The sequence below is a fragment of the Homo sapiens genome, chromosome 6 (genome assembly GCF_000001405.40).
Source record: "Homo sapiens chromosome 6, GRCh38.p14 Primary Assembly".
Classification (NCBI taxonomy): domain Eukaryota; kingdom Metazoa; phylum Chordata; class Mammalia; order Primates; family Hominidae; genus Homo; species Homo sapiens.
The window spans coordinates 127410330-127436921 of NC_000006.12; the positions used below are offsets into that span (position 1 = coordinate 127410330).

At 39.5% G+C, this 26592-nt stretch overlaps 2 pseudogenes, besides 1 other annotated feature; one reads left to right on the forward strand and one right to left on the reverse strand.

Annotated features, from left to right (window-relative positions):
* Nucleotides 2695-3499: an enhancer, noted in NCBI's record as "H3K27ac-H3K4me1 hESC enhancer chr6:127734169-127734973 (GRCh37/hg19 assembly coordinates)". NCBI's record gives its function as "activates a minimal SCP1, AML or CMV promoter by ChIP-STARR-seq in primed H9 embryonic stem cells {active_cell/tissue: H9 hESC(primed)}" and the evidence as "EXISTENCE:reporter gene assay evidence [ECO:0000049][PMID:30033119]".
* Nucleotides 6237-6620, reverse strand: LOC100287856 (cornichon family member 4 pseudogene; annotated as a pseudogene).
* Nucleotides 25292-25894, forward strand: RPL17P23 (ribosomal protein L17 pseudogene 23; annotated as a pseudogene).

Below are 26592 nucleotides of genomic sequence, written 5' to 3' on the forward strand. Positions count from 1 at the left end.
TGCCTCCCGGGTTTATGCCATTCTCCTGCCTCAGCCTTCCGAGTAGCTGGGACTACAGGTGCCCGCCACCACGCACGGCTAATTTTTTGTATTTTTAGTAGAGACGCGGTTTCACCGTGTTAGCCAGGATGGTCTTGATCTCTTGACATCGTGATCCGCCCACCTGGGCCTCCCAAAGTGCTGGGATTACAGGCGAGAGCCACTGTGCCGAAGTCTCCCATTCTTATTGTTTGGGAGTCTAAGTCTTTTTGTAGGTCACTAAGGACTTGCTTTATGAAGCTGGGTGCTCCTGTATTGGGTGCATATATATTTAGGATAGTTAGCTCTTCTTGTTGCATTGATGCCTTTACCGTTATGTAATGGCCTTCTTTGTCTCTTTTGATCTTTTTTGGTTTAAAGTCTGTTTTATCAGAGACCAGGATTGCAACCCCTGCTTTTTTTACTTTCCATTTGCTTGGTAGATCTTCTTCCATCCCTTTACTTTGAGCCTATGTGCATCTCTGCACATGAGATGGGTCTCCTGAATACAGCACACTGATGGATCTTGCCTCTTTATCCAATTTGCCAGTTTGTGTCTTTTAATTGGGGCATTTAGCTCATTTACATTTAAGGTTAATATTGTTATGTGTGAATTTGCCCCTGTCATTATGATGTTAGCTGGTGACTTTGCCCATCAATTAATGCAGTTTCTTCATAGCATCAATGGTGTTTACAATATGGCCTGTTTTTGCGATGGCTGGTACCGGTTGTTTCTTCCCATGTTTAGTGCTTCCTTCAGGAGCTCTTGTGAGGTAGGCCTGGTGGTGACAAAATCTCTCAGCATTTGCTTGTCTGTAAAGGATTTTATTTCTCCTTCACTTATGAAGCTTTGTTTGGCTGGATATGAAATTCTGGGTTGAAAATTCGTTTCTTTTAGAATATTAAGGCCAGGTGTGGTGGCTCACACCTGTAATCCCAGCACTCTGGGAGGCTAAGGCGGGTGGATCACGAGTTCAGGAGATTGAGACCATCCTGGCTAACACAGCGAAACCCTGTCTCTACTAAAAATACAAAAAAAAAAAAAAAAAATTGCCAGGCGTGGTGGCAGGTTCCTGTAGTTCCAGCTACTCAGGAGGCTGAGGAAGGAGAATGGTGTGAACCCAGGAGGCAGAGCTTTCAGTGAGCTGAGATCTCACCACTGCACTCCAGCCTGGGTGATAGGGCAAGACTCCATCTCAAAAAAAAAAAAAAAAAAAAAAAAGAATGTTGAATATTGGCTGTACTCTCTTCTGGTTTGTAGGATTTCTGCCGAGAGATCCGCTGTTAGTCTGATGGGCTTCCCTTTGTGGGTAACTCGACCTTTCTCTCTGGCTGCCCTTAACACTATCCTTCATTTCAACCTTGGTGAATCTGGCAATTATGTGTCTTGGGGTTGCTCTTCTTGAGGAGTATCTTTGTGGTGTTCTCTGTATTTCCTGAATTTGAATGTTGGCCTGCCTTGCTAGGTTGGGGAAGTTCTCCTGGATAATATCCTGAAGAGTGTTTTCCAACTTGATTCCATTCTCCCCATCACTCGCAGTTACAGTAATCAAACGTAAATTTGGTCTTTTCACATAGTCCCATATTTCTTGGAGGATTTGTTCACTTCTTTTTACTCTTTTTTCTCTAACCTTGTCTTCTCGCTGTATTTTATTAATTTGATCTTCAATCACTGATAGCCTTTCTTCCACTTGATCAAATCGGCTACTGAAGTTTATGCATGTGTCACGAAGTTCTCGTGCCATAGTTTTCAGCTCCATCAGGTCATTTATCGTCTTCTCTATGCTGTTGATTCTAGTTAGCCATTCGTCTAATCTTTTTTCAAGGGTTTTAGCTTCCTTGTGATGGGTTCAAGCATCCTCCTTTAGCTGGGGGAAGTTTGTTATTACCAACCTTCTGAAGCCTACTTCTGTCACCTCATCAAAGTCATTCTCCGTCCAGCTTTGTTCCGTTGCTGGCGAGGAGCTGCAATCCTTTGGAGGAGAAGAGGCACTCTGAGTTTTAGAATTTTCAGCTTTTGTGCTCTGGTTTCTCCCCATCTTTGTGGTATTATCTACCTTTGGTCTTTGATGTTGGTATGTTGGTGACCTACAGATGGGGTTTTTGTGTAGGTGACCTTTTTGTTGAGGTTGATGCTATTCCTTTCTGTTTGTTAGTTTTCCTTCTTTTTTTTTTTTTTAGTTGGAGTCTCGCTCTGTCACCCAGGCTGGAGTGCCCTGGCGCGATCTCGGCTCGCTGCAAGCTCCGCCTCCCAGGTTCACGCCATTCTCCTGCCTCGGCCTCTCTAGTAGCTGGGACTACAAGCACCTGCCACCACACCTGACTAATGTTTTGTATTTTTAGTAGAGACAGGGTTTCACTGTGTTAGTCAGGATGGTCTTAATCTCCTGACCTCGTGATCTGCCTGCCTTGGCCTCCGAAAGTTCTGGGATTACAGGCATGAGCCACCATGCCAGGCCTGAGCCACTGCGCCTGGCCAGTTTTCCTTCTAACAGTCAGGTCCCTCAGCTGCAGTTCTGTTGGAGTTTGCTGGAGTTCCACTCCAGATGCTGTTTGCCTGGATATCACCAGCGGAGGCTGCAGAACAGCAAATATTGCTGCCAGCTCCTTCCTCTGGAAGCTTCGTCCAAGATGGGCAGCCACCTATATGAGGTGTCTGTTGGCCCCTACTGGGAGGTGTCTCCCATTTAGGCTACATGGGGGTCAGGGACCCACTTGAGGAGGCAGTCTGTTCGTTCTCAGAGCTCAAACACTGTGCTGGGAGAACCACTGCTCTCTTCAGAGCTGTCAGACAGGGACATTTAAGTCTGCAGAAGTTGTCTGCTGCCTTTAGTTCAGCTGTGCCCTGCCCTCAGAGGTGGAGGGAGTCTAGAGGCAATAGGCCTTGTTGAGCTGTGGTGGGCTCCGCCCAGTTCCAGCTTCCCGGCCACTTTGTTTACCTACTCAAGCCTCAGCAATGGCAGATGCCCCTCCCCCAGTCAGGCTGCCATCCTGCAGATTGATCTCAGACTGCTGCACTAGCAGTGAGCAAGGTTCTGTGGGTGTGGGAGCTGCCAAGCCAGGCATGTTAGAGAATCACCTTGTCTGCTGGTTGCTAAGACCTTGGGAAAAGCACAGTATTTGTGTGGGAATGTCCCGTTTTTCCAGGTAGTCTGTCACGGCTTCCCTTGGCTAGGAAAGGGAAATCCCCAAACCCCTTGTGCTTCCCGGGTGAGGGAATGCCCTGCCCTGCTTCAGCTCATCCTCCGTGGGCTGCACCCACTGTCCAACCAGTCCCAATTAGATGAACCAGCTACCTCAGTTGGAAATGCAGAAATCACCCATCTTCTGTGTTGATCACGCTGGGAGCTGCAGACCAGAGCTGTTCCTATTCGGCCATCTTGGAACGCCCCTCCTCCATAAGTGTATATCTTTTAGCTACTGAGCATCCATGAGTGAATTTTGACAGCTGAAGATACCTATAACAATCTTGCCAAGATTAGTGGTCTGAACATTTATGGTCTCATGGTGAGGCAGTCCTAGGTTCCCAGGCATAAATTATTTAAAAATATGAAGAACACTTCTGACTCATCTACCTGTTGAAACCTACTGTCATTTTCTTCAAAGACATAATATCATTCCCTTTTTCCAAATTTCATTAGGTACCCACTGGGGTACTGAATAAAGTATATAACTTTATATTTACTATCCCAGCCTCATTGGAAGCCTCCCCTCCAGGCAAGATGGTCCACTCACTGTCTTCCAGATTTCAAGAGAGGCCTCAGGAATTCCCACTGCCATGCCTTTGCCAACAAACTTCTGCACTTGGCATGATCTATGCCCCTAGGCCGAGACAAATCCAGCATCTGTCAGGAATGCTCCCTTGGTATAGTCATGCTTCAATTCTGATCTTCTAGACATTTAATTTCTTGGAACATTCAAAATAATGAATTTGATACCAAGATCAAATTCCAAAAAATTAAATGTCTAGAAGATCAGAAGTGAAGGAGTGAAATCTTGAGCAAGTGCAGTTTTTTTTTTTTCTTTTGAGACAGAGTCTCGCTCTGTCACCCAGGCTGGAGCGCAATGGCATGATCTCGGCTCACTGCAACCTCTGCCTCCCAGGTTCAAGTGATTCTTCTGCCTCAGCCTCCTGAGTAGCTGGGATTACAGGCACCTGCCATCATGCCTGGCTAATTTTTGTATTTTTGTAGAGACAGGGTTTCACCATGTTGGCCAGGCTTGTCTTGAACTCCTTACCTCAGGTGATCTGCCCACCTTGGCCTTCCAAAGTTCTGGGATTACAGGTATGAGCCACCACAACTGGCTTGTGCAGTTTTCTTAAATACCAATTTAGTCATCCATTGAATTGTGACAAGAATGCCAAATTTGCAGAGCTGATGTGAATGTTAAACTTTGTAAACTCTAGAAAGTTATGGAAATATTAGGTGTATCATTATAATTCCTGTTCAATACCATGTATTATTTATATTACCTTATTTCTCCATCCATTATTCTAAAGTTTTTGAGAGTGCTGTATACTTCTTATAATTTGTTTCCCCAGTATGCTTGGCCAAGTGTCCTTTCTATTCTATATGAACAAAAATATTTGTCAATTGATGAACTAGATTTGAAACAGTGATGAAATGCTTTCAGATTATTTCATATTTGACATCTTATTCATTGGTTAGTAATATGTGAAGATAGGGCTTAATTATTTTTGTTGTTGTTAATTACAGATTTTAGGTAATTTAAAACATAACCATTGTTACAAGAGCTATATATTCTGTATATTAATTTAAAAAAATGTACAGTTCTCTTTTTCATCTGTCTGCTGTAAAATCAATACTGAATTGGATCAAATGCCAGCTCGTATGCACTTTCATCTTTGAAAGTTAGGACACAGCTTTGAGTCTCTCTGACCGCAGACCAACTTGTAATTTAACCTACCAGAGGCTGGGTGTGTATCAAAACACAGTGGCTTTACTCAGATCTTTTAAACAGCTACAAAAGTGAAAAAGCTGAGGATGGAGTGGAAAAAGAGAAAGGATACTTTGTTTTAGGGACCTGTTTTATTTATTTATTTTTTTGTATCCATTGATCACAGGACATCAGTGGCTGCTTCAGGGACTTGGGTTAGTAGTCTCCAGGGTTTACTTTACTCTGTATCTAGGGCAAACCTGACAGTCTGGAGTAGAGCAAGAAAAATATGTAATACAGTCAACTAGATTATTTAAAAAGCCACCTTTCTGTTATTCTTATGGGGTTGAGGAAATTGTTTCTCTATATGAGTATAAAATTTATCACCAATGTTCAAGGCTTTAAAGCAGAGTTGAAGGCAACCTGAGAATCACTCAGTATTCTTTCTTCCCTTACGTTTTATATCTGCTACTGAATTATTAGTGATGGCTCACTGTGCTTCCAGTGAGGGCAGAGGGTGTTGGGCTCCTCCTAAACAGGGAGAAAAAAGAACAACAAGGATATATATTTGTTTCATGCTGCCTACTGGTTTTGAATGTTTTAGGCTATTTAATTGGAAGAAGAAGGAATTGTTAAAGTTACTTTAAAACTCTACAATTGCTTGATTAACAAGGAGGAGAAAAACTATTGGATAAAACATACAGTTATTTAAATAAGGTTTAGCAATTCAGCAACATCTATCAAAATCTTTATTATTTTCATGTTTAAAAAATACTTTAGGCTGGGCGTAGTGGCTCAGGCCTGTAATCCCAGAACTTTGGGAGGCCGAGGCGGGTGGATCCCTTAAGGTTGGGAGTTCGAGACAAGCCTGACCAACATGGAGAAACCCCCTATATACTAAAAATACAAAAATTAGCTGGGCATGGTGGCACACGCCTGTAATCCCAGCTACTCAGGAGGCTGAGGCAGTATAATTGCTTGAACCCAGGAGGCAGAGGTTGCGGTGGGCTGAGATCGCATCATTGCACTCCAGCCTGGGAAACAAAAGCGAAACTCTGTCTCAAAATAAATAAATAAATAAATAAATAACCAACCAATGAACAAAACAAACAAAAAAACCAAAGCAAAACAAAAAAACTTTATACGGTAAAAAGACAGCAAAAATAGATTTTTGTTCAAAGAAGAAAAGATATACTGCCATTGTTGTGGTTCTGTAGATGATTTTAGTCTCTGGCTCCTCAACTGTGCACTGAAGTGTAGGTTGATTTCAACCATGGCTTCTCCAGCTTCAGTCATTTATCGAAGCTAAAACCATAGTTTAAAGATACGTGAAAAAACAGAGCAAGTGGAAATTAAGCTTGATTATGGTCTTTCATGTGTTACTTTTGCTATCCTTGATTGTGTATTTCTGTTGGATCAAACACTCCTATGTTACTGCTTGGCACCATAATGAATCAATATATATTCCAAGTGGCAAGAGGTAAGTTGAGAAGGAATATGAACCAATGCAACAAAATGCGCATAATACAGTGACAATAGTATGGCCAATCAATCTTGGAAATTACCCACTTGTTTAATTTTGAGCAACATGATCTAGCATTAATGTAATCACACTCTAAATCAGACAATGTAATTATGAAGACTGAGAGAAAAATGAGTCTGCAACTGAGGAGAAAGAAGACAAAGACCATGTCCTCTTCCTCTACCTATCAAAAGCTTTAAAATGTTTATTTACTCACACATCCTATTCCTGATAATGTTTCAAAAGAAAACAGTAGAAAAGGCTGGGCATTGTGGCTCACGCCTGTAATCCCAGCACTTTGGGAGGCTGAGGTGGGCGAACCACGAGGTCAGGAATTCAAGACCAGCCTGACCAGCATGATGAAACCCCGTCTCTACTAAAAATACAAAAACTGGCTGGGCGCGATGGCTCCCGCCTGTAATCCCAGCACTCTGGGAGGCTGAGGCAGGCGGATCAGGAGGTCAGGAGATCGAGACCATCCTGGCGAACACTGTGAAACCCCGTCTCTACTAAAAATACAAAAAAAAATTAGCCGGGTGTGGTGGCAGGTGCCTGTAGTCCCAACTACTCGGGAGGCTGAGGCAGGAGAATGGCATGAACCCTGCAGGGCGGAGCTTGCAGTGAGCGGAGATCGCGCTGTTGCATTCCAGCCTGGGCAACAGAGCAAGACTCCGTCTCAAAAAAAAAAAGCAAAAAAACCCAAAAATTAGCCGGGTGTGGTGGGATGCGCCTGTAGTCCCAGCTACTCGGGAGGCTGAGGCAGGAGAATCGCTTGAACCGGGGAGGTGGAGGATGCAGTGAGCCGAGACCGTGCCATTGCACTCCAAGCCTGGGTGACAGAGTGAGACTCTGTCTCAAAAAAAAAAAAAAAAAAAAGAAAAAGAAAATATGTTATTTACCAAGATGTCATCTATCATATAACATGAAATATAGCACAATCATTAAAATACTGCCATTAAAGTGATATTAAACTAATAACATGGGGTAATGTTAAGAAAAAAAGTGAGACATAAAATTTTGTATATGTTGTATGTTAAAAGCTAAAAAAACCAACATAATACATAAAATGTAAGAAAATATACAAAAATGCTAATCCAGATATAGGTAATATTGAATTTTCTCAACTTTTTTTGTAGGTTTTGTAAGGACAATTAAAATTTTAAAATAAGAAGCATAATTCTCCCTGCTGAAAATAAAAGATTTTCCTTCTCTTCTTTTTATCAGAGAATTTATTCTAGAAAGCTTCTAATTTTAAACATAATTATCCTCAGTATCTGTGAGCGATTGGTTCCAGGCTCCCCATGACCCCTGGGATACCAAAATCCAAAGACGCTCAAGTCTCTTCTATAAAATGGCATAGTATATGCATGTAACTTACACACATCCTCCTGAAGACTTTAAGGCATCTCTAGATTACTTATAATACCTAATACAATGTCTACATATCACTTCCTTTGCATGGACTGAATGTAGTACTTGGTATATGGCAAACTGAAGTTTTGCTTTTTGAAGCTTTGTGGAATGTTTTTTTTCCCCCCAAATATATTTGATCCATGGTTGATTGAATCCACAGATGCACACTCCTGGATACAGAGAGCCCACTGTACTCTCTTGGTTCATTAAAATGTGTATAAATCATTTTGAAGACTAGATAGGCCCTTTGTCAGCCCAGGAAGGTCTCTCTCAATAATCTAGGAACAATGCCATTGAAATGTACACAACGAGGGAGATAGCATCCTTAATCTCCCAGTTTCTGTGGGAGGACAGGAATCTAACTTCAGTGGAAGCCAGGCTCCAGAACTACCTTCTGTCATAAAAATACGAGAAGTTTGTTTTTCCCCGGACAAGGTCAATTAGCTAACAGGAACGATCTCCTCAATTTCCAGGTAAAGTTAGGATGAATGATGTTTGCAAATAGGGCTGTCATGTTGTCTTACCTGAGAAATTGTTATTTATCTTGAAAACACGTATGTAATGCGTTGTATCTGCTGGGCGATATAAGGGGGTATGATTACTTTCTGTTTTTGGAATCTCTTAATGGATTACCTGTGATGTACCTCACATTCTGGCTTAATGTTTATTCAATAATAAAAGTGCTTTCTTTACTACCTTTATGGAGAGAATTTCTGGGTTGGGAGAAGATTATCGTTCTAATTATATTTATAATCAAATAAGTTCACATTGATATAATGAGCTTTATTATGCTTACAATGGGAAATATACTTTATAATTATTGCCTTTTTTCCTATTTGATGATTTCTTTACCTTTTCGTTAGCAATAACTATCACCACTTTATTGGTTTATTCTACTCTAAGCTCTAAGCTCCCTTCCACTTCCAATTCTTTTGACTCACAGACTGTCTGTTCCAGTTTCTTCTCAGCTTCACAACATAGTTTTTAAGTCCGGGAAACACATCTGTACTATCTTGTACAACTAGGAACCCTGCTAGTGTCCCATGTAAGTCAACTGAAAGCCTTCCCTATTTTCTTTCTTTTTTTTGAGATGGAGTCTCGCAGTTGTCGCCCTAGCTGGAGTGCAATGGCGTGATCTTGGCTCATTGCAACCTCCGCCTCCCTGATTCCAGCAATTCTCCTGCCTCAGCCTCCCGAGTAGCTGAGATTACAGGTGCACGCCACTATGCCTGGCTAATTTTTGTATATTTAGTAGAGACAGAGTTTCACCATGTTGGCCAGGCTCGTCTCGAACTCCTGACCTCAGGTGATGCACCGCCTTGGCCTCCCAAAGTGCTGGGATTCCAGCTGTGAGCCATTGAACCCGGCCAGCCTTCCCTATTTTCAAAACAAGGACTTTATCACTAGTTCTAGTTAGCCCTTCCTTTGGTTTCTGCTTTCTGGTTTTAAACTATTCCTTTTTTTTCTTTTGTTTATCCTTTAATTCTCCCTTGAGTGCTTTGAGCTGCATTTTATACTTAATGTGCATAGATTTTGTTATATAATTTAATATTCAAACTGGGACACTTTTGAGAGTGAAAAGGTGGGGTAAATAATTACTGGGAAGTTATGCCGTAACCAAGACTGTCCTAGGCAAAACTGGATGTATGTAGGCAAAAGAATCTGAGGTTGGGAGTACCTTTGACTCAAAGTAGTGATTTAGTGTAATAAACCAATCAAGTGGTTATGAACTGATTGTTAACACAAAGATAGGTAGGTAAAGAGATAGATAAATGCAATATTTGGAGTATTGGAGTATATTTATTTTAAAATATTTTTGTTGTTTATCTGAAATTAAAATTTAACTGAAGATTCCATATTCATATTTGTTAAATCTAGTAACCCCAGATGCATGGTCATCATAAATATGTTTATTGAAACTGTTTTCCTCAAGGATGGCAATTTCTTATTCATCAGTAGGGTGAATAGCTCAGCATTTACAGTATATTATTTAACATAAGTTAATAGGCTAAACACCATAAAACTAACAAATAAGGCTTATTAATTTAAATGACTAGAAAGAAATATATTTATACCATAAAAAACATAATTTCTTATTTTTAGGGGAAAATTAAGCTAATCTAATTAGGACTCTAAAGGATAAACATAATTTGAATGGCTAAATAAAATAAATCATATTGTCTATATCTTTAAAATTTTTTTTTCTCTTTTCATATATCTGTTCTCATAAACATTTTGAATAGAAAATACAAAAATATTATTACCATATAAAAGTGATCTCATTACTTTTTTGGCATTCTACAATATAGTAACTTTTTCCACTACAGTCAAAAGATGCCTATTTGCCAGTAAGTCTTCTAGAATTCTCAAAATTTTCTTTCTCTTTCTCTTGGCTGTAACAGTTCACAAGTACAATGAAAGACTAAGTCAGATGGCTGGCGTTGGTGACTCACTTCCTCCCCCTTTTGGTAGTTTAGCTAGACACCCGTCTGAGTCAGCTTAACCAAAGAACAAACAAGCAGATACAGTGCCTGAGTTCTGGGGCTCCCCCTTTGTCACAAGGCTGTTTTCAGTGTCCCATGGCATTGTTAAAGAAAGCTCTCCTTGTTACATTGTCACAATGAAGTAGCCTACCCCTCTTACTCTATCAATATGTAGAGTGGTAGTACCAGGTGAGGCATTCCTAGAACTCCTTCCAGGAAGCATCCAGATCCCCCTTCTTCAGCATGTCTCTCTGCAAGATAACACAAGCCAATGGGATGCTGTGTGCTTTGCTGTTTTCACTGCCGATATATTTGCTATATTCCCCAGGACACCCACTTTACTTTTATGCCTATGATTGCTAATTTTGTGTGTGTGTGTTTGTGTTGTGCTCCCATTACATGACATATACTGTCTGAATTAGGTGAAGATGGCAGTGGTGTAATTTCAGACCAGAGCTGCCTTTTAATTGGACTTTTATGAGACACAAAGGGCTTTTTACCCCATGTCCAGACTGAAATAAAAAAATTCAATCACTTCATTACAATAATTTGTAAGTCATTCTTTTCATTCTGAAAAATCTCCCTTTGCACTTTATAACATTTCAGAAAGTAGAACTGTTTTCATTTCTTTGTTTGTTTGTTTTTGAGATGGAGTCTTGCTCAGTAGCCCAGGCTGGAATGCAGTGGCGTGATCTTGGCTCACTGTAACCTCTGCCTCCCAGGTCCTGGTTCAAGTAATTCTTCTGCTTCAGCCTACCGAGTAGCTGGAATTACAGACACATGCCACCATGCCCAGCTAATTTTTTGTATTTTTTAGTAGAGATGGGGTTTCACCAGGCTGGTCTTGAACTCCTGACCTTGGGATCCGCCTGCCTCAGCCTCCTAAAATGCTGGGATTATAGGCGTGAGCCACCAGGCCCGGCCCAGAGAGTTGAACTGTTAAGGAAAAACATACATATTTATCTAAAATATATATATATATATTTTACTTAAGAATATATGTATTTTGAGATAGGATCTCACTTTGTCACCCAGGCTGGAGTGCAGTGGCACAATTACAGCTCACTGTAGCCTTGACCTACCAGGCTCAAGTGATCCTCTCATCTCAGCTTCCTGAGTAGCTGGGACTATATATAGGTGCATGTCCCCATGCCCGGCTAAGTTCAAAAAATTTTTTTTTCTAGATACAGGGTCTCTCTGTGTTGCCCAGGCTGGTCTAAAATTCCTGGGCTCAAGCAATCCTCCCACCTGGGCCTTTCAAAGTACTGGGATTACAGGTGTTATCCACTGTGCTTGACCAAGGAAAATAATATGTATTTCCCTCTTAAAATGAATTCAAGAGTTTTTTGGGTTTTTTTTCGACGGAGTCTCACTCTGTCACCCAGGCTGGAATGCAGTGGCGTGATCTCGACTCACTGCAACCTCCTTCTCCCGGGTTCAAGTGATTCTCCTGCCTCAGCCTCCCGAGCAGCTGGGATTACAGGCACATGCCACTACGCCCGGCTAATTTTTTTTTTTTTTTTTTTTGAGACAGAGTTTTGCTCTTATTGCCCAGGCTGGAGTGTTATGGCGAAATCTCAGCTCACTGCAACCTCTGCCTCCTGGGTTCAAGCGATTCTCCTGCCTCAGCCTCCCAAGTAGCCGGGATTACAGGCATGTGCCAACACATCTGGCTAATTTTGTATTTTTAATAGAGACGGGATTTCTGCATGCTGGTCAGGCTGGTCTTGAACTCCCGACCTCATGTGATCTGCCCGCATCGGCCTCCCAAAGTGCTGGGATTACAGGTGTGAGCCACTGTGCCCGGCCTAATTTTTGGTATTTTTAGTAGAGATGGGGTTTCACCATGTTAGCCAGGATGGTCTCGATCTCCTGACCTCGTGATCCACCTGCCTCAGCCTCCCAAGGTGCTGGGATTACAGGCATGAGCCACCGAGCCTGGCCTAAGATTTAAATAATTATGGAATCTTTGTTAAATAAGCATGAAAATTTTAGAATGTAAATTTCAGAGTTAGAAAAGAAATATTAGGTAAGTGAACATATTTACTGGTCTTGTAAATTATTTTAGGAGGACCTGGGTTACAGGCAGTTGCTTAAGGCACATATGTGAAATAAAACTTAAGGAATAGCCCTCAATGCTTCATGAATCTCCTATCCTTCCCCTTTCCTCTTTGGAATGGGTTGAGTACTTTTATGGTGAAAGTCTTATTCCTTGCTCTTTTCCTTCATATGACAAATTAATATCCTGAGCATAATATTAAAAAAAAGCAAACCAAACCTGTTTATTCTCTGCTCTGGCAGTTTGACATTTCTGTGTAGTACCCTCTGCCAAGTTGAGCTATAAATCCTCTGTGTTGATTTTACTGAGAGCTGTAAGTAAATGATACTTCTATATTTGGGGGATAATTTTATTTTGCTTTAAAATATTGAAATAAACAGAAAATCACCCAACAGACACTATCTTCTATCATTTTTCCTATAGTTTAAGGCATTTTAAAATCAAATGTTATTTTCGAATATGTTCTGCAGAAACACTTGGATTTTCCCCACTTGCCTTTACATACTTTGCTGTGTGTGATCAGGGCTGGGACATTACAAATTCTATTTCCTTGGCTCCTTTGGTACTGGCAGAAGATCAGAAGAATAAAGGAAAAGAGAAGCTTCTGGTTTCTAGCATATACCAGTGGGAAATACTGGTAGTTGTTGTTATGGCATTGGAAGTCAGATGATTTCACACTTTTTTTTTTTTTTTTTTTTTGAGACAGAGTCTTGCTCTCGCCCAGGCTGGAGTGCAATGGCGTGATCTCGGCTCACTGCAAGCTCTCTGTCCCGGGTTCACGCCATTCTCCTGCCTCAGCCTCTCAAGCAGCTGGGACTACAGGCGCCCTCTACCATGCCCAGCTAATTTTTTTGTATTTTTAGTAGAGACGGGGTTTCACCATGTTAGCCAGGATGGTCTCGATCTCCTGACCTCGTGATCCGCCCGCCTCGGCCTCCCAAAGTGCTGGGATTACAAGTGTGAACCACCGCACCCGGCTGATTTCACACTTTCAAATTGAAGCAGAACTTTTCCATGTGAAATGGTTCTTATTCAGTGTTCCAGAATCAGCCAACAGTGCAGCATCAGGTGTGTGTTCCAGGCCAGGATCATTAGCAGTTTCTAATCTCTAGGTATTATTTCCACTTCCTTCTTGCTCCCCTGTCTCCCATCATCATTTTGTTCTTCTAGATATTTTAGTACCTTTGTTTCCAATTTCCTGTTGTAATGTGTTTAAATTCTTAGTGTTTCTCTGTTTTCCTAACTGGACTTTGACTGATAAAAGTACTGATGAAAAGCCACTAGAAATCCTACACTACAAATAGAACATATGTCTTTGACACCAGAAGAAAGAGGCACCTCAAAAATGATGCTCCTTTTCTAAGAACGTATAGCGTTTCACAAAAGAATGAGGAACTACATTCATGTTTCTGAAATGAAAATGGGAGTGGTGTGTCATATTTTAAGCTCAACACAACTTCCTGGAATGTAAATTTTACTTGAAAATTTGTATTTAAAGGACAATATTTATTTCAATCTTGAAATTTTTGGGGCAGATGATTTTACTAGTGAATTCTACCAAAGATTTAAAGAAAAGTTGATAATTTTACTAGTTTAAAATCCTTTACAAACTCTTCAAAAAATAGGAGGGGGGAACACTTCACATCTCATTCTGTGAGGTCAATATTACCCTCATAACAAAGCCAGACAAAGACATCACAAAAAATAAAACTAGAGACAGTACATATATATTCATATATATGTAAAAAATGTCAACAAAACATTATCAAACTGAAGCCATCAACATATACAAAGGATTATACCATAACCAAGTGGGATTTATCACAGGAATGCAACATTGGTTTAATACATGAAATCATTCCATGTAATACACTGTATCAGTAGAATAAAAGACAAAATTAACATGATCACCTCAACAGATGCAAAATAAGATTTTGGTAAAATCCAACCCCCTTTTATGTTTAAAATACTCAACTAACCAGAAATACAAGGAAACATTTTCAAACTGATAAAGATCCATGAAAAACCTACAGTAAACTTCATAACTAATGGTGGAAGACTGAATTCTTCCCCCTAATATTAGGAATAAGACAAGGATATCCACTCTTGCTACTTCTATTCAACTTTGTGCTAGATGTTCTATGTCAATTAGTGCAGAAAATGAAGAAAAGGTACCCAGATTAGATGGAAACTAGTAAAACTCTATTTGCAGATGTCATATTGTCGTATGTAAAAGATCCTAAGGAACCCTGCACAGAAAAATATTAGCACAAATGAGTTAATTCAGCAAGACTGCAGGCGACAAAGTCAATATACAAAATACATTGTAATATGAAATCAAGAAAAATATTCAACTTATAATAGCATCAGCAAATTAAATACTTAGGATTTTTTTTTCTTTTCTTTTCTTTTTTGAGAGCCTCACTCTGTCGCCCAAGCTGGAGTGCAGTGGTGCGATCTTGGCTGACTGCAACCTCTGCCTCCTGGGTTCAAGCGATTCTCGTGCCTCAGCTTCCTCAGTAGCTGAGATTACTGGCACCCACCACCATGCCTAGCTAACTTTTGTGTTTTTAGTAGAGATGGGATTTCACCACGTTGGGCAGGCTGATCTCAAACTCCTGACCTCAAGTGATCTGTCCACCTCAGCCTCCCAAAGTGCTGGGATTACCGGCGTAAGCCACCACACCCAGCCAGATCAATTACATTTTATCAGTGATTCTGGGGATATTGTGTATCCACATCCAAAATCACGTAGTTAGACCTGTACCTCACAGCATATGCAAAATTAACTAAAAATGGATCATAGGCCTAAATGTAAGAGCTAAAACAATGAAATGCTTATAAGAAAGTATAGAAGTTATTCTTTATGACCTTGCTTTAGGAAATGGATTTTTTAAGATATGACATTAAATGTACAAGTGATAAAAGGAAAAAAAAACATCAATTGCACTGCATCATAATTAAAAACTTTTTTTTTTTTTTGAGATGGAGTCTCGCTCTGTCGCCCAGCCTGGAGTACAGTGACCCAATATTGGTTCACTGCAAGCTCCGCCTCCCGGGTGCACGCCATTTTCCTGCCTCATCCTTCTGAGTAGCTGGGACTACAGGTGTCCACCACCATGCCCAGCTAATTTTTTGTATTTTAAGTAGAGATGGGGTTTCACTGTGTTAGCCAGGATGGTCTCGATCTCCTGACCTGGTGATCCGCCCACCTCGGCCTCCCAACATAATTAAAAACTTCTGTGCTTCAAAGGACACAATAAAGAAAATGAAAAGAGAACATACAGAATGAGAGAGAATATTTGCAAATTATATATCTGATATGGGATTTATATCCAGCATATAAAATTTAAAAAGATAGGCTGGGCATGATGGCTCATGCCCATAATCCCAGCACTTTGTTAGGCCGAGGTGGGCGAACATCAGGACAGGAGTTCGAGACCAGCCTGGCCAGCATAGTGAAACCCCGTCTCTACTAAAAATACAAAAAATTAGCCAGGCATGGTGGTGCATGCCTGTAGTCCCAGCTACTCGGGAGGCTGAGGCAGGAGAATTGCTTGAGCCTGGCAGGCAGAGGTTGCAGTGAGGCAGGATAGCACCACTGTACTCCAGCCTGGGTGACAGAGCAAGAACGTGTCTCAAAAAAAAAAAAAAAAAAAAATTAAAAAGACTTAAAGTACTAACATATCAACAATTACTTTAAATGTAAATGATGTAATTACACCAATTAAAAGAGATTGGCACTATGGGTTTAAAAAATGAGCCAAGTTTATGTTGTCTACAACAAACTAACTTCAAATACAACAATGTAAGTAGGTTGAAAGTAAACAGATGGAAAAAGGTATGTACACATTAATTTAAAAAGAGCAGAAGTGGATATATTAATGTGAGATAAACTAGAAGTCAGAGAAAAGAAAGTTACCAAGCACAAAGGGAGATTATATAATGATAAAAGGTCAATACACAAAGGAGACATAGAAACTGACTTCAAAATACATGAAGCAAAAATTGATAGAACCTAATCCAAAATTATATTTGAGGATGTTAACACCACTCTCTCAACAGTTGATAGCAGGACTAGATAGAAGATCATCAAAGATATAGAAGACAGAACTACACAACCAACGAACAGGATCTAATAGAAATATACAGAACACTACACATCGAAAAGGAAAAACACATTCTTTTCAAGTGCTCATGAAACATTCATTGATACAGATTATATCCCAAGAAACTAGAAGAAAAATTAGCAAAATTGGCCCAAAGCAAATTGAAGAAATGAAATAATAAAGAGCAGAGATCACTGGAATTGAAAACAGAAAGTAGAGAAAATCAATGAAACAAAAAGCTGGTTATTTGGAAAGATCAACGAAATGAATAAACTTCTAGCAAGACTGATGAATATTAAAAAGTAGAAGACACAAATTAGCAATATAAAAAACAAAACAAGCAATATCTTTACACATTATGCAGCTGTTAAAATGATATAAAGGAAGCACTATAAACAGCTCTGCATATACAAATACAGCAATTTAGATGAAATGGACCAAATCCTCTGAAAAGTCAAACTACCAAACATCCAACCTGAATGTCATGATCTAATTAACCTAACAATTCCAAAAAAATTGAATCTATAGTCTAAAAATATTTTAAAAAGACATCTCCAGGTTCATATTATTTCACTGGAGAATACTACCAAATATTTAAGTAAGAATTAGTATTAATTCCAATTCTACATAATCTCTTTGAGAAAACAGAAGTGGAGGAAACACTTCCCAACCCCTTTTTTTTTTTTTTTTGAGACAGGGTCTCACTTTGTTGCCCAGGCTGTAGTGCAGTGGCATGATTTGGGCTCACTACACCCTCTGCCTTCTGAGCTCAAGCAATCCTCCCATTTCAGCCTCCCATGTAGCTGGGACTACAGGTGTGCCCCACCATGCCTAGCCAATTTTTGTATTTTTTTGTACACTTGGGGTTTTGCCATGTTGCCCAGGCTGGTCTCAAAGTCCTGGGCTCAAGAGATCCTCCTACCTTAGCCTACCAAGGTGCTGGGATTACAGGCATGAACACTGCTTTCTGCCCCAACTCATTTTATGAGGCCAGTAGTATCCTAATGCCAAAACCACATAGCACAAAGAAGGAAAACAACCAAATGATCATTATCTCTCAACTTCTCAAGAATTTAGACACAATAATCCTCAACTACATACTAGCACACTGAATCTAGTGGTGTGTGTATATATATGATATTATATATAAATGATATTTTATACATATTAATATATATAATTAATATATATGTAAAATGACCAAGTAGGATTTGTTCCAGAAATACAAGGCTGGTTCAATATTAAAAGTTAATAAATATATCTGTAAGATAATAACAAAAGATCCATTTATATCACTATGTGTCCGGAATTGGTTCCTTCCGGTGGGTTCTTGGTCTCGCTGACTTCAAGAATGAAGCTGCAGACTCTCGCGGTGAGTGTTACAGTTCTTAAAGATGGTGTGTCCAGAGTTTGTTCCTTCAGATGTTCAGATGTGTCTGGAGTTTCTTCCTTCCCGTGGGTTTGTGGTCTCGCTTGACTTCAGGAGTGAAGCCGCAGACCTTCGCAGTGAGCGTTACAGCTCTTAAAGGTGGTGCACTCACAGTTGTTTGTTCTTCATGGTGGGTTCATGGTCTCCCTGACTTCAGGAGAGAAGCTGCAGACCTTAGCAGTGAGCGTTACAGCTTATAAAAGTAGTGTGGACCCAAACAGTGAGCAGCAGCAAGATTTATTGTGAAGACCGAAAGAACACAGTTTCCACAATGTGGAAGGTGACCCAACCAGGTTGAGGCTGCTGGCCCCGGTAGCCAGCTTTTATTCCCTTATTTGGCTCTGCCCACGTCCTGCTGATTGGTCCATTTTACAGAGTGCTGATTGGTCCATTTTACAGAGTGATGATTGGTCCGTTTTTACAGAGTGCTGATTGGTGCATTTACAAACCTTTAGCTAGACACAGAGCACTGATTGGTGCATTTTTACAGAGTGCTGATTGGTCCGTTTTTACAGCGTGCTGATTGTGCGTTTACAAACCTTTAGCTAGACACAGAGCACTGATTGGTGCGTTTTTACAGAGTGCTGATTGGTGCGTTTACAAACCTTTAGCTAGACAAAGAGTGCTGATTGGTGCGTTTTTACAGAGTGCTGATTGGAGCATTTACAAACCTTTAGCTAGGCACAGAGTGCTGATTGGTGTGTTTACAATCCTTTAGCTAGGCAGAAAAGTTCTCCAAGTCCTCACCAGACCCAGAAGCCCAGCCAACTTCACCTCTCAACTAGAGTCCTAGAAAATAAGCCTGGGTACTAAAGATTATTCAAAGAAATAATGGCTGAAAACTTCCCAAAGTTAGTGAAAGAAATAAACCTACCAGTTCAAAATATTGAGTGAAACTCAAACAAGATAAACTTATTAAAGAAATCTATGCCAAGACATATCATAATGAAACTTCTGAGAGCTAAATAAAAACAAAACAAAATGAAATAAAATCTTAGAACACACTGTAGAGAAGCACTACATTATCTATGGAGGGAAATTATTAAAGTGTTTTTTTATCTGAACCTATGAAAGCAAGGAGAAAGTGGTACAATGGTGTTCTGGTTTCAACCTCAGTAAAAATATCCACTGGAAGGAAGTAGAAATAAAGACATTCTCAGATGAAAGTAACCTAAGAAATTTCTTGCCAGAAGAACTACCCTTAAAAAATGTCTAAAAGGGGCCAGGCACGGTGGCTCACACCTGTAATTCCAGCACTTTGGGAGGCTGAGGTGGGCAGATCACAAGGTCAGGATATCCAGACCATCCTGGCTAACACGGTGAAACTGGGTCTCTACTAAAAAGACAAAAAATTAGCCAGGTGTGGTGGTGGACGCCTGTAGTCCCAGCTACTCAGGAGGCTGAGGCAGGAGAATGGCGTGAACCCGGGAGGCGGAGCTTGCAGTGAGCCAAGATCGCGCCACTGCACTCCAGCCTGGGGGACAGAGGGAGACTCCGTCTCAAAAAAAAAAAAAAAAAAAAGAAAAAAGAAAAGAAAAAAAAGTCTAAAAGTATGTTTTCTAAGGAGAAAGGAAACAATAACAGAAGGAGGCTGGGATTTCAGGAGGAAGGAATTTAAAAAGGAAATGGGTAAAAATAGGGGTAAAAATAATAGACAATATTTTTGTCTCATGAGTTTTTAAACCGTGTTTGAAGTTGAAATGAGAATTATAACATCATCTGATATGGTGCTTAAAATACGTAGAGAAAATATTGAAAACATTTATATTTAAAAGCATGGTGAGTAAAAGGATCTAAATAAAGCTATGGTTCCTACATTTCCCTCAAAGTGATAAGATGTTGATACTAGTAGACTGTAACATGCAATGTCTGAACATTGTAATGAGAGCATCCATTAAAAACTATACAAAGAGATACATTGAGAAACACTCTCGATAAACCAAAGTAGTGTTCTAAAATATTTGAAGAGAATAAGAAATGGGAAAAAGAGGAATAAGAATGAGAAAAAAATGAAACTCAACCTAAACTTCACAACTTAAAGAAATTAACTCAAAATGGATCATAGATTTAAGTGTAAAATATAAAGCCATAAAACTTTTAGAATATGATATAGGAGAAAATCTTTGGGACCTAGGGCAAGGTGAAAGGTTCTCAGATTTGACACAAGAAACATGATTCATAAGTGAAAAAAATTAATAAATTGGACTTCATTAAATTAAAAACTTTTTCCCCACAAAACACTGTGTGAAGAGATTGAAAAGACAAACTACAGGCCGGGCACGGTGGCTCACACCTGTAATCCCAGCACTTTGGGAGGCCGAGGAGGGCGGATCACCAGGTCAGGAGATTGAGACCATCCTGGCTAACACGGTGAAACCCCGTCTCTACTAAAAATACAAAAAATTAGCTGGGCGTGGTGGCGGGCGCCTGTAGTCCCAGCTACTCAGGAGGCTGAGGCAGGAGAATGGCGTGAACCCGGGGGGCGGAACTTGGCAGTGAGCGGAGATTGCGCCACTACACTCCAGCCTGGGCGACAGAGAAAGACTCCGTCTCAAAAAAAAAAAGAAAAAAGAAAAGAAAAGACAGACTACAGTTTGGAATAAAATAACTGCAGGTCACATATCTGACAAAGGCCTTCTATCAAGAATCTATAAAGAACTCTCAAAGCTCAACATTAAAAAAAATCCCGTTTGGAAATTGGCAAAAGAAATGTAAAAGCATTTTGTCAAAAATGACACATGAATTGCATGCAAATGAGCACATTTAAAGATGTTCAACATCATTAGCCATTAGAAAATGCAAATTAAAACCACAATGAGATAATACTATATATCTGTCAGAACATCTAAAACACAAAATAATTATATAGTTGGCCCTCCATAAGCGAGATTTCTCATTTTATGTAAGGGACTTGAACATCAGTGGATATGGTATCAGTCAGAGGAGGAGTCCTGGAAACAATCTTCTGTGAATAGGAAAGGCAGACTGTCATAACAAATATTAGTGAGGATGTGGAGAAACTGGATTTCTCCTACATTGCTGTTGGGAATGGAAAATGGTGCAGTCACTCTGAAAAATAGTCTGCCAGATTTTACAAACCTAAACATGTAGTTATAGTACAACCAGGAATTATTTTTTGGGCATTTATCCCAGAGAAATTAAAACATGTTCACACAAAACATTTGAATGTTAAGAACAGTTTATATAGTAAAATACTGGAAATTACACAAATGTCTTTAAATGAGTATATGGATGAAAAAGCTCTGGTACATCCATGCAGTAGAATACTACTCAGCAATAAAAAGTAATGAACTATTGATACTATGTAATGATCTGAATGAACTCCAAGGGCATTTTGGTTACTGAAAAAAGTTAATTTCAAAATATTACATACTGTATGATTCTATTCATATAATACCCTCAAAAAGACAAAACTACAGAGACGGAGAACAGATCAGTGGCTGCCAGGACACAGGAACAGGTGTAGTGGGGAAGGGGGACACAAAGAGGTAGTAGAAGGGAGTTCTTTTGTGGTGCTAAAGAAATCTGTATTTTGACTATAGTGGTGATTACACAAATTTTGCATGGAGAAGGGTGCACAGAGACACACGCACACACGCACACAATGAATGCAGATTTTTAACCACTAATATGTTAACCTTTATTTCCCAGTTTTGATTTTGTACTACAGTGATATAAGATGTCATCATCAGAGGAAGCTGAGTGAAGGTTGCATGGGACTTTTCTATTTTTACAACCTCCCATGAGTTTATTCTCAGTTCATAACAAAAAGTTTAAAAAATGTGTTTGGAATATGCCAACTCAATGAACCTAAGAAAATGTTATTTTCTTTGTTGGTGAATATTGTGTTGCTTTTATTTAAGCCTGGAAAGCATAAATTTTTATGTGCAATTGCTGATTAGAAAATTTGGCACTTCTGTACTTGGAGAATAAAGTGGCATTAACATTGCCTCCCAAACAGTTGATTTGGGCAAGCTGCTAGAGGAAGAACAGTGTGTGCTGAGGTTGCTCATGGCACTGGCTACCAAAGTAAAAGAGCTGAAAATTGTGATGTCTTCATGTAAACTCAGAGACCCATACAGCCAGTATTTTGATAAATTATTTTGCTACTGCAGGAATCACTGTTTTAGATTACACCCCACCAGAAGTCATTGATTCCAAAAGAGCTTAAAAGTTTCTAAGTTACTCTCATTGTAAACTTTGTTTACAAGCAAGTGATTCCAATTAGCTCTACATCCTACTAATAGCAGATAAGTATCACCCGTGCCACCCACTAAATATTCTGTTTTGTGTGTATAGTTACCATTTTTTCCATTTACACATTTAAAGTGTAATAATTTTAAAATTATATTTCCAACGGGAAACACATATTGTGATTTAATACAGAAAGTTTGAATCATAAATTTGATATTGGGTAAAATAGGAAAGACAATTTAAAAATTTTAGTACAATTAGAAATCCGCAAAGATTGGAGAGATGAGACTTTCCCAAAGAAATTGATGGCGAAAAATATCACAGACAATTCTCTTTACTACTGGTAGTAGGTGGATGCCATCTAAAAATAGTAGATATACTCAGAGGCATATTTAAGATAGCTTTAATACTGTGTAACTGCCAAAGGTTTGATCCTTTATATCTTTCAGTGGATAAAATCCTGAGAATAATTACATAAATCTTCATTGTTTTTTGTGGGTAACATAAAAATAAACTGTTCAAACAACGAGAAAACATTGTATTAACAAAAGAAAAAAATATTCGCTAGGAATGAAAACCACAATTGAAAAGCCAAAATTACTTGATAATTAAAGTCTATTTACAATAACAACAACAACAACAACAAACCCCAGTCAAAAAAAATTGGTAAATTCCACACTGAAGTTAAGGTCAAACTTGTGTGGAGCTTAACAATAAACTGGTAAAGGCCAGGCGCGGTGGCTCACGCCTGTTATCTCAGCACTTTGGGAGGCCGAGGCGGGGCGGATCACGAGGTCAGGAGATCGAGACCATCCTGGCTAACACGGTGAAACCCCGTCTGTACTAAAAGTACAAAAAAAAAAAAAAAAAAATTAGCCAGGCGTGGTGGCAGGCGCCTGTAGTCCTGGCTACTCGGGAGGCTGAGGCAGGAGAATGGCGTGAACCCGGGAAGCGGAGCTTTCAGTGAGCAGAGACCGCGCCACGGCACTCCAGCCTGGGCGACAGAGCTAGAGTCCATCTCAAAAAAATAAAAAAATAGAAAATAAAAAATAAACTGGTAAAGTGAAAAAGCCATACCTATTAAATGATACCCAAGGAAACAATTCTAACATTGAAGAAGGATAACCTGGAATGATTGGCTGAGAGATGAATCATAACCTTGCTATTTAGTTTACATTGGAAATAATGGACAATAATAATTTAGGAATGTAGTTATTGATCTTTGTCTACTAATTTTAAAAGGATAATTTATACTGAAATAACTGGTAAAGATAATTTTTAAAGATATTTGAGATTAAAAAAATGAATGTAATAACACATATAGATGGGTGTATGCATGGAAACAAATCTGTGATGCTGACATTGGCGGGAAAGGTAGCATTTCTGTATCCTGCGTGAATCAGCAGCCCTGCAGTCACTCACTAATAATATCTCCTCTCAAAGAGTTTGTCTCTTGGTTTTCTTTTTCTTTTTTTTTTTTTTTTTGGGACAGAGTCTTGCTCTGTCACCCAGGCTGGAGTGCGATGGCATGATCTCAGCTCACTGCTACAACCTCCACCTCCCAGGGTCAAGTGATTATCCTGCCTTACCCTCCACCTGTATCCTGGGATTACAGGTGCCTGCCACTACATCCGGCTAATTTTTGTATTTTTAGTAAAGACTGGGTTTCACCATGTTAGTTAGGCTAGTCATGAACATCTCTTGGTTTTCTTTGTGCTTTACTGAGCTGGAAAGAAATGCTGGATTTTGTTTAATATTAGTAGAAAAAAATTTAGATGCTTATCTTTTTAGATTAATCCATAAGGAAATGGGAGATGAGGCCAGGTGTGGTGGCTCATGCCTGTAATCCCAGCACTTTGGGAGGCCAAGGCGGGTGGATCACTTGAGGTCAGGAGTTCAGGACCAGCCTGGCTGACACGGTGAAACCCCATCTCTACTAAAAATACAAAAGATTAGCCAGATGTGGTGGCTGGCGCCTGTAATCCCAGTTACTCAGGAGGCTGAGGTGGGAGAATTGCTTGAATCTGGGAGGTGGAGGTTGCAGTGAACTGAAATCTGGCCACTGCACTCCAGCCCGGGCGACAGAGCAAGACTCTGTCTCAAAAAAAAAAAAAAAAAAAAAAAAAAGAAAGAAAAGAAAAGAAATGGTGGGAGATGAGTTTGAAAACTTGCTCTTTGACATATGTATTTGTTGGCTTAGGCAGAGAAAAATACTGATCAGATTTTCAATTATTGGAATTACTCTTTTTAAAGTGGAGAACTGAAAAACTTTTCATGACAATGCCTGAAACATAGGTTAAAATGACTAATTATTGTTTTGCCTAATGGTAAACTGGTTCTCAAAGTTGGCTTATTCAGCCAAGATATTTTAAGGGTAACTTCTCTGTGAAAGTGAAATTGTGAAAGCTTTCATTGGTGAATTACATTTCACTTTTAATTCTGTGCAATAAGATTGCAACAGAATTAAAGTGTGAGAGCTGTGAAGAGTTTTATTGACAATAAAATTTTGAACACTTAATTCAACTACATAAAATTAAAGTCTAGGTAATTTGTTATTTTTCCTCCTTCAAAAAGGCCCTTCAACTATTGTTTTCCTAAGACAATGGAAGAGACAGCCTTATGATATTTCACATGATGCAAGTCCTTTGACCTTTTGTTATTAATTTAATTAATAATAAAATTAATTTTAAGCCTCTTAAATATTTATTTAACAGGATTAAAATCTTTAATTCTTCTTTAATTCTGTTAAATAAGAGAATTTCTACCAGCGGTCATCTGAAATATTACAGTATGCTATCTCTTTAGTAGTATTCTGGTCATCTTGTCTTAGTGATTGTATTATAAAATTTTCAAAACAACAAGAAAACAGTTCAATTTGTATGCACATTTTTCAGTGGATTCAGATTCTCAAAATATGCTGACACCAGAACAGAAATTACTGTACCATATATATTCAGGTCAGCTCAAGTTTTTGAAATAAGTAAATTTAGTGCAGCAAAAATTAGGCATGTGCAGCAAAAAGTCTGCACTCTTAATCCAGCTGTGACTAAACGAGGAGTCAGAGAAGAAAAACTTTTTTTTTTTTTGCTGATAACAAGTAATTAAAATATTTACAAATTTAATGAATTCACTGTTCTCCTAAGCAGCCTGAGGTGATCTATGAAAACGGTTTGCTATTCACTTGACCCAGAAAACTCCACAAAATCATGCCAACCAACAGGTTCAAATCTTTGTGTTCATTTTAAGAACACTCGTGAGTCTGCCCAGGCCATCAAGGGTATGCACATACAAAAAGCCACTAAATATGTCACTTTATAGAAACAGTGTTCACTATTCTAATGTTACAAGGGTGGAGTTGATAAGTGTGTCCAGGACAAACAGTGGGGTTGGACACAGGGTCAGTGGTCCAAAAAGAGTGCTGAATTTTTGCTGCATGTGCTTAAAAATGCAGAATTATGCTGAGTGAACTTAAGGTTGTAGACAGAGATTCTCTGGTCATCGAGCATATCCAGGTGAACAAAGCACTCAGGATGCGCCGCTGGACTTACAGAGCTCATGGTCTGATTAAATCCATACCTTAACTCCCCTGCCACACTGAGATAATCCTTACACAAAAGAAACAGATTGTTCCTAAACCGGAAGAGGTGGATCCACCGGAGAAAAAGAGATCCCAGAAGAAACTGAAGAAACAAAAACTTATGGTGTGAGAATAATAAAATAAAATACATGCAAACAAAAGTTAAAAAAAAAATCTTGTTAATTCTTTTTTTGTTTTTTGAGACACAGTTTCATTCTGCCTCCCAGGCTGGAGTGCAGTGGCGTGATCTCGGCTCACAGCAACCTCCATCTCCTGGGTTCAAGTGATTCTCATGCCTCAACCTTCCGAGTAGCTGGGATTACAGGTGTGTGCCACCACACTTGACTAATTTTTGTATTTTTAGTAGAGACAGGGTTTCTCCATTGTGGCCAGGCTGGTCCCGAACTCCCGACCTCAACTGATCCGTCCGCCTCTGCCTTCCAAAGTGCTCAGATTACAGGCGTGAGCCACCGTGCCCGGCTGAAATCTTAATTTATTCAACGTAATCTCTGCTGGCATTTTTCTAAGTGCTTGGCATAATCAGTGAATGAAGCAGATAGAATCCTGGTTTGTTTATAAACATTTTCAAGTTAAAACCCTTCAAAGTTAAAGAATTTTCTCTTAACAATGGGCTTCTTTAGATACTGTCAGGGACCTTTGAAGGACTATTTCTTTTCTCTCCAATTAGAGAAAACTTACTGGAAACAGTCAAGAAACACTGATTTAGATGCTCTTTAATTTCTCTAAGGACCTAGGTAGTTAATCTGAGAATCAGAAGGCTCTTAGGATGAGTGTGAAAGAAGTCAGTTGATAGAATTGGGTGACCTCCAGGGATATCTGTCTGGCACAGATCCATCTGGAGGCATCT